General features: G+C 39.7%; 1 annotated feature.

Moving 5' to 3' along the window:
- Nucleotides 1,858–2,827: an enhancer, noted in NCBI's record as "H3K27ac-H3K4me1 hESC enhancer chr10:109856695-109857664 (GRCh37/hg19 assembly coordinates)". NCBI's record gives its function as "activates a minimal SCP1, AML or CMV promoter by ChIP-STARR-seq in primed H9 embryonic stem cells {active_cell/tissue: H9 hESC(primed)}" and the evidence as "EXISTENCE:reporter gene assay evidence [ECO:0000049][PMID:30033119]".

Genomic DNA, 9,006 nt, shown 5'->3' with positions numbered 1-9,006 from the left:
TTTTAGTAAGAACAGAATGTTCTGACATATTTCAAAATGGTTACTCCCTGCACCCCCATGGAAGTATGGGGAGATTTTTCTCTGATATTCACTTTGAGGGTGAGATCAAACTCCTGGAGGCAAAATAAAAGTGGGGGTTCCCACCATGATTGGATCCTTCCGGAGTTTTTCACACTCAGATTTGTTCACGTGAAGCTTTCAGCAATTTGTCAATTAGAATTCAGGTTTTCCTAACCTACCACTGGTACCCATGGAGATTTCTTCTACTGGGTTTGTATTTCAGTAAATTGTGGCACTCAGTATTTGCCTGTCTGTTTCTCCAATTTGGGAGGATGGCAGTGGTTTGCACTGAACTTTTACTTCTCTGAAAGATCTAAAAATCTTAGAAGAGTTGTTGATTTTTCATTTTGCTCAGCTTTATATTTGTTATTAGGATGGATTGTTGACTTCTAAGCTCATGACATGCTAGACTGGAAACCAGAAGTCCATAATACTTTAGCACATTAATTTTATAAAGAATATAAAATTGTTTGAAAGCATTTTTAATTAAAATGAACTTCAGCAATTTCATGTCCAATAAAAAAATGCATTTGCTTTTCAATGCTGTCATCAAAAAATGTAACCATTTTAAATGACTTGGAAATACCCTTAGAAGAGAAGGCAAATTGTTTGCCTTTTTTAAACTGACAGATAAGATTGTATGTTTTTATCATGTGCAACATGATGTTTTGAAGTACATGTACACTGTAAAATAGTTAAATTAGCTAATTAACAAATGAATTATCTTGCATAGTTATCATTTCTGTGGTAAGAACAGGTGACATCCACTCTTTCTACATTTTTTGATACAATGTATCAGCACTAACTATAGTCACCTTGCTATGTTTACAATAGATCTCTTGCATTTTTTTCCTTTTATCTTACTGTAATCCTGTATCATTTGAGCAATATTTCCCCATCCTCCACTCCTGCCTAACCACCTCAGCCTCTGCTAACAACCATTCTTCTATATAATCAACTTCTTTAGTGAGATCATGCACTATTTGTCTTCCTATGCCTGGCTTATGTTATTTAACATAAAGTCGTCCAGGATCATCCATGTTGTTGCAAATGGCAGAATTTCATTCTTTTTTATGGCTGAATAGTACCCCATACTGTATATATGCCACATTTTCTTTATTCATTCATCCCTTGATGGACACATAATTTGAGTCCACACCTTGCTATTGTGATTAGTCCTGTGATAAACATGGTAGTACAGATACCTTTTTGACATACTGATTTCAACTCCTTCGGAATAGTTTTTTGAATACTAAATAAATATCTTATTAAAAAATTAAACCCTTATTTGTTCATGGTGACTGTAATAAATTTTGGCAAAAATATAGAGAAACTTGAACTGATTCTGGTGTTCTCATTGAGCTGCTAAATTTGTTACTGTTCCTCCTGCATAATACAGATGCCATAAGCCATGACTAAATGTACAGAAGGCATTTACTTCTGTTAGGTTTTTTGAGCCAGAAGACGCTTTATAAGTCACTGCATTATACCTTATAACTACATTTTAATTTAAATGTATTTTTAAACATAGCTTTTAAAAGCTCATCTCCTCACTGGCTATCAAAAGCAGTTTAATTTCTAAAGTAATAGCATATTTTAAAAATCTATTTAAAATGCTGTTAAGATCTTTAAATATTCTACTTTTATTATTTTTAAACTTATTTAATTACACTATAATTGTATAAAGCTCTAGAGCAGTGCTGGAGATGGTTGCAAATTGTCCAGTCTCATTTCCAGGCATACTATTGAAATATTTCATGAAATAACAAATTGATATCCAGGGAAAAGACCTGTAAGAGGTCACCCATGTAAAATCCAGTCTATACAAACATCTGAAAAGTAAAGGACAGAAAGCAAATTTAATCATATATGAGTACTTCGGGGGTGTGGATTGTAGCAAAACATGAGAGATTCTAATTTGTATGCAGTACATTCAAGGAAAGTAAATATGATGAGATTTAATACAAACATCTTAATTTTCTTAGTCAAGGTAAATGCCATTGCCAGTGGTTCCATTTGAAAGACTGGATAGTATTGATGGTGGTGGCAGCCTTTCTGGAGTGGCCACTTCGAGGACACCAGCTGCAGCAGGGTAGGTGGGGCCTGGGCTGTGTGTTCCATGGAGCCCAGCAGGGGCCAGGAACAGGTGATCACAGAGGGAGCCCCACACCCTACTGAGTTGGCAGGGCCACAGGCCGTGTTCCTGTGCACATCTGCAGCTGCACAGCCATGGCACTGGACCTCAGCATCCCTCGCTCTTGGGGCCCAGGAAGCACTCAACTCTCACAGGCTTGGAAGTGCCTGCTCCTGCTATGTGGCCTCTTCCTACTCCCAGTGACTGCCCCAGTGTGGAGCAAAGTTGTGGCCAAGCCCCAGTGCTGTTGCCACCTGACGGGGTGTGTACATGCTTGGGGTTGCATTGACATGCCAGTCTCCTGCCACCTTGGCCCCTCCAGACTTTGGGCACTAATGATTGTGGGATGGAGGCTGAGGGGCTCACTGTAGGCCTGCAGGCACCCCTTGGTGTGGAAAGCCTGGGTGCCGTGGATGGCATGTTGATGATGGGAGGCAGACAGGTTCATAGGCAGGAAAAGGTGGATCCCTGCTGAAACCCCACCTTCAGGTCAGGGTGTGCCTGAAGCCTGAGGGCTGTGCTACCAGTTCTGGGTGAAGTCTGCAACCTGGAGTGAATACTTTATTGATGCTTTCCAGCCAATCAGATGGTGCTTTTTCGAAGCCTACCCATGGCCACCCATGGACCAATTAGCATGCACTTCCTCCATTCTGAGCACATGAAAGCCTCAGACTCAGCCAAACTCAGACTCTCACTGGGAGGACTTGCCTACAGAAAGGAGCTCTCAACTTTGGGTCTCCTGAGAGCTGTTCTGTTGCTCAATAAAGCTCTTTCCATCTTGGTCATCCTCCAGTGTACTGTGTAACTTCATTCTTCCTGGAAGCAGGGCAAGGACTCAGGACCTGCTGAACGGCAGGAGCATAAGGAGCTGTAACATGTCCCTGGACAGCTCGCCAAGCTGTGGGCGGTTCATGCTCTTAGATTGCAGGAGTGAAGAGTGGTGACCCTTCTGGGGGCCCAGACCTCAGGATTCCCTGAGCCAGACCTGCTGTAACACTATAGCTCTCCCACTCTCCACTGGTGCTGGGTGGCTGCCCCATGCAATGGGTGGAAGGACTGAAAGAACTATAATGCAAACAGGCTGAAACATGCCCCCCTTTCCCCACTTGCTGTGCTGTGGGCAGCAAGAAGGAGAGGAGAACTGCGGCCCTTCTGGGAGCCCAGACCTCAGGGTTTCTGAAGCCTGGGCTGTGACGGGCTGTAACACCCTCCCTGGGTCTCTGCAGTTCCTGGCGCCTCTGAGATTTTGGACTCCACTGTGTTCCCCAGCACCTGAAGTGGAAGCCACTTGTGGTATGTCTCATTCACCCACAAGCCTTGAACAGAGCTGGCACCTGTGCTGGTACCTGGAGCTGCCCTCCCTTCACAGCTGGCACACCTGGCTGTGCACAATGGCTGGACCCTGCACTCACTCACTCACACATCTCTCACCACTCTGTGACTGGCTCACCCTTGGCAGCTGTGGGATCTGGGCCAGTAATGTGAACCAAGCACAGCCTGCTGGGCCAACTGGGTGGAACAAGCCCAGAGGGTTTGAGCAAAACCCAAGCAGAGGCACCGCTGGCCACAGAGGTTTCAGCTGGTAAAGTGACACTCTACAGATCCTCTGACAGTATGCTTTTGAAGAGAATTATTTTCTAGGTATAAAATGTATAAATGAAGCATCGAATCTATTGATATATATTATCCTCAGGAAAAGAAAATCAATTTATTTAAATTGTGTGCTGAGTAAAAATGGGAACAATTCTTCCCGGAGAAACAAATTTCTCATCTGGTCATCCCTTAGATTAGAATTTGACCCCATATAAAATCAGAGTAATGCTAAGAATCAAACTATTTCACTAGAAAATAAAATAGGAAGAAAATGATAAACGACGAGAATTAATGTAGAATGAACATGGATTTTAGATTAGGCTTAGAAAAGGAAATGAGCTAAGTTATTGAACATCAGATAAATAGTAATGTCTTATGCTTAAGTAACACTTATTTTGTCAGTGACTAGTCTATGTATTTCACACTTACTAACTTATTTATCCCCTACAGTAGCTCAGTGAGGTAGGTAGCCTTATCATCATCCTTTAAAAGCATAAGGAAATTGGGGCACTGAGAGTTTAAGTGGCCTGCTCAGTGCAGATAAGCAATGAGACAGGAGCAAGGTTGGAACCCAGGCAGTCTGACTTTAGAATGTGAGCTCTGAACCATTACAGAATACTCTCCCCTAGGCTATGGAGTAGGTTTCCAGTAATTTGTTATAATCATTATTCGTTTTTAAAGTTTTAATTTCTATTTTGTTTATAACTGAGTAACAGTTTATGGATTAGCTTTATGATATAAACAATTAGAAAATTGTAAAAATATATTAAAACAAATCCAACATACTTTTAGATATTGGGTAGTAGACAGCCGAAGAGTATACTTCTGAGAGAAGAAAAAGAAATATGATGAGCCCTACAATAATTCTGGCTTTCTGTCTGAAAACACTGAACTCTGCCCCCAAGGAGGCAACGAAGAGGAAATAAAGCAAAATATAAAGAACTCGCCGAATTAAAGATATGGGAATCCAAGTTGGAGGAGGTAGAATGGAGGGAGGTGGAATTTATGGGGTAAAATACAAGAACAAAGGGAGCCATTTAAACAAAAAGCTTCAGAAAGCTGTATATCCCTTGAGTCTTTGGCTTAATAATAATGTGTTCAAGTGCAGGGTGATACTACATGTGTCTAAATGGGAACAAAAGATGAAGAAAACAACCTGTGACCAAGGAGCTGTAAATTAAACAGTTACAGGACTGAAGTGGGTTAGAAGAGTTTTTAGTTCTGACCAACCAGAATGATGAGACCTTTTTCAACAACTAGAACATTCAGTAGAAAACCATGAAATTCCTTGCCTTAAGAATAGGCCCAAATAGTTATAGAATAAAGGCTGTTCTACACTTACCTTAATAAAAATTAAAAATTCTCAAAAGGATTATGCTAATCTACAAATAAACTAACCACTAATAAAATAAAATTCAATTTTCTTAAAAGAACACAACAAAATCTAGACATTCAACTACATAACATTTAAAATGTACTAAATCCTATTGAAAATTATGTAAATATGCAATGAAACAGTAAAATCTGACCTAAAATCAGAAGTAAAATTAGTTAATAGAAACAGAAAATAAATTATAGTGATGATCAAATAAGCAAAGGAATTTGTGTGTTTGTGTGTGTGCATGCATATATATGTGTGTGTATCTATTTAATTTGTATATATATTAATTTTATAAATGTATACACACACTTGAAGCAGATGAATGTGATAACAAGATGGAAATTATAAGAAATGTATAAATAAAAAATAAAAAATAGAATTTCTAAAACTGAATAGTATAATAAATAAAATGAAAAATTGGTAGGCTTAATAGCAAGTTCAACATTACAGAAGAATTTCAATAATCTTAAAATAAGGTAATAGAATCTATCCTAACTAAAGCATAGAAGAAAATGAAACAGAACCTTGGTTATTTGGAAGACAATATGTATCTTAAGGAAAAAGTGTATTATGTCACAGAAGGAATGAGTGATATACTTAATAAAAATATCCCATATTATCAGATAATTTCAGTTAATTGCAAAAAGAATAAGTAAAAAGAAAATCACACCAAGGCATGTCACAAATTACTTTCTGAAAAGCAATAATAATGATTATAATAAAACATCTTTAAAGCAGCCAGAAAAGAAGGAAACAATTAAGTACAAGGGAGTACAAATAAGACTTACAGCTGACTTCTTATGAGAAAGTAATGTATTTATGTGTTTGAACTGACTGCAGAAATGCAAAGGTCAACCTATAATTCTGCATCTGTTGAAAATATCATTTGGAAGTAAGAGCAGAAGTCTTGGCCATGCAAAGTTCTGTCCTGTGATAAGCCTGTTTTCACTGTGATAAACCAAGGTAGTCTCAGTTCATTATAGGAAGACTAAAGTACACATTGTACATGTCTCTATTATATTCATGTTTTTAAAGTTATTGAAAAATAAGGTATAAGGAACTTAAGATATGTAATGTGTATACTGTGATGAGTTTTAACAAATGCATATCCCTGTGAAACTACCACCACAAACAATATAATAGGTATAGCTAGTCCCCAAATTTCATATTTCCCTTTTCTAATCTAGTCTTCTCTACCCTATCCCCTTTCTTGGGAAATCACTGATCCTATTTCCTGCAACTGCAAATTAGTTTGCCCTTAAAATTTTTTTTTGATGGCTACATAGTAGCTGTATGTATTTATGGGATACAAGACACATTTTGATACAAGCATGCAATGTGTAATAATCACATCACAGTAAATGGGGTATCTATTGCCTCAAGCATTTATTGTTTCTTTCTGTTACACACATTTCAATTACTCTATTTTAGTTATTTTTAAATGTACAATAAATTATTGTTGACTCTATCACCCTGTTGTGCTATCAAATACTAGATAATATCAATTTTATCTAACTATATTTTTGTACCCAGTAACCATTCCCACTCTCCTACCCCACTCCACTACCTTTCTCAGCCTCTGGTAACATTATACCCTGCTACTCTATCTCCATGAGTTCAATTGTTTCAATTATTAGCTCCCACAAATCAGTGAGAACATGGGAAGTTTGTCTTTCTGTGCTTGGCTTATTTCACTTAACATAATTTGCTCCAGTTCCATCCATGTTGTTGCAAATGACAAGATCTCATTCTTTTTTAATATGTGAACACTACCCCATTGTGTATATGCACCGCATTTTCTTTATTCATTCATATGTAGATGAACACTTAGGTTGGTTCCAAATTTTGGTCATTGTGAATAGTGCTGCAATAAACATGGGAGTGCAGATACCTCTTGGATATACTGATTTCCTTTCTTTTGAGTAAGCATATACCTAGTATTTACATAAGAGTGGTATTGCTGGATCATATGGTAGCTCTATTTTTAGTTTTTTGAGGAACCTCCAAACTATTCTACCTCATGATTGTACTAATTTACATTTCACCAACAGTGGAAGAGGGTTCCCTTTTCCTCACATTCTCAATAGCATTCGTTACTGCCTGTCTTTTGAATAAAACCATTTTAACTGGGATGAGATAATGTCTCATTATAGTTTTGCTTTGCATTTCTCTGATAAACAATGATGTTGGGCACCTTTTTCATATAGCTGTTTGTCATTTGTATGTCTTCTTTTGAGAAATGTCTATTCATATCTTTTGCCTGTGTTTTAATCAGATTAGTACAATTTTTGTTGTGCTTTCTCAAAACAGCTATTTTGAATTCTCTGTCTGAAAGATCACATATCTCAGTCACTCTTGGATTGGTCGCTGGTGCTTTATTGAGTTTGTTTGGTGAGGTCACATTTTCCTAGATGTCCTTGGTGCTTGTGGATATTTGTCAATGTCTAGACACTGAAGAGTTAGGTCTTTATTGTAATCTTTGCAGTATGGGCTTGTTTGTACTCATTCTTCTCGGAAAGGCTTTCCACATATTCAAAGGCAATTGAGTGATGTGATATAAGTCTTTAGTCACTGCAGGTGCGTCTGCATTAGATGAAACCCCAAGCCCAAGACTGCGGTGACTCTTGCAGACTCATAGAAGAACCAACTTGGTGGTCTTGAGTAATAGCTGAGATAATTCCCTGGGTTAGCAATCAGAAACTCTTGTTTTCTTCCCATATTTTCCCGCATCCCCCACTCCCCCACCCACCTCTTCAAAAAACAGTCTGTCTCTCTCTATGCTGAGCTACTTGCAGCTAAGGAAGGAGTGACACAAGCACCCCTGTGGCCACGAGCACTGGGAATGTGTTCGGTTCAACCTGAAGCTGGCACAGCACTTGGCCTCACCCAAGGCCCATGGCAACCACTCCCTGGCTATCACCAATGTTCACACAAGGCCCAAGGGCTTTTTGGTCATGGGGTGGCAAATCCAATCCAATCAGGCTTGCATCCAACCTTTCAAGGTGGTAAGGTACCCCGTGCCCAGGGTAGGTCTAGAAATGCCATCTAGGAACCTGGACCTGGAGTCAGGAAACTTAGTAATCTACTTGGTGCTCTATTCCACTTTGGCTGAGCTGGTACCCAAGTATTTTAGTCTGTTCTCATGCTGCTATGAAGAAATACCTGAGACTGGGTAATTTATAAAGAAAAGAGGTTTAATTGACTCACCACTTCACATGTCTGGGGAGGCCTCAGGAAACTTACGGTTGTGGCAGCAGGCACCTCTTCATAGGACAGCAGGAGAGAGAATGAGTGCCAAGCAAAGGGGAAGCCCATCAGATCTCATGAGAACTCCCTCACTATCACAAGAACCCTGTGGGGGAAACTGCCCACATGATTCAATTATCTCCACCTGGTCCTGCCCTTCACAAATGGGGATTATTACAATTTAGGGTGAGATTTGGGTGGGGACACAGAGCCAAACCATATCACCAACCCACAAGACACTGTCCTTCTCACTCTACCCTCTCCTTTCCTCAAGCAGAAGTTTCCTCCCATGGCCACCACTGCCCCGTGCCCACTGTGAGTACTGCCTGGTTACCTCTGATGTTCACTCAAGGCCTAAGGACTCTTCATTCAGCTTGTGGTACATGCTGCCAGGCCTGGGTCTCTTCTTTCAGGGCAGTGGGCTCCCCTCTGGCCCAATGTGAGTCAAGAATGCTATCCAGGAGCCAAGGTCTGGAATCAGAAACTCCAGGAGTCAGATTGCTCCCCTAACGACTGTGGTCAAGCTGGTACCCAAGCTGCAAGAAAAAGTTGCTTTTACTCTTCCTTCTCCTTTCCTTAAGCAGAGTCTCTC

The sequence above is a fragment of the Homo sapiens genome, chromosome 10 (genome assembly GCF_000001405.40).
Source record: "Homo sapiens chromosome 10, GRCh38.p14 Primary Assembly".
In the NCBI taxonomy this organism is placed as follows: Eukaryota; Metazoa; Chordata; class Mammalia; order Primates; family Hominidae; genus Homo; species Homo sapiens.
The sequence above is the reverse complement of the archived record's forward strand: the minus strand, read 5'-3'. Positions and strand labels throughout refer to the sequence as shown.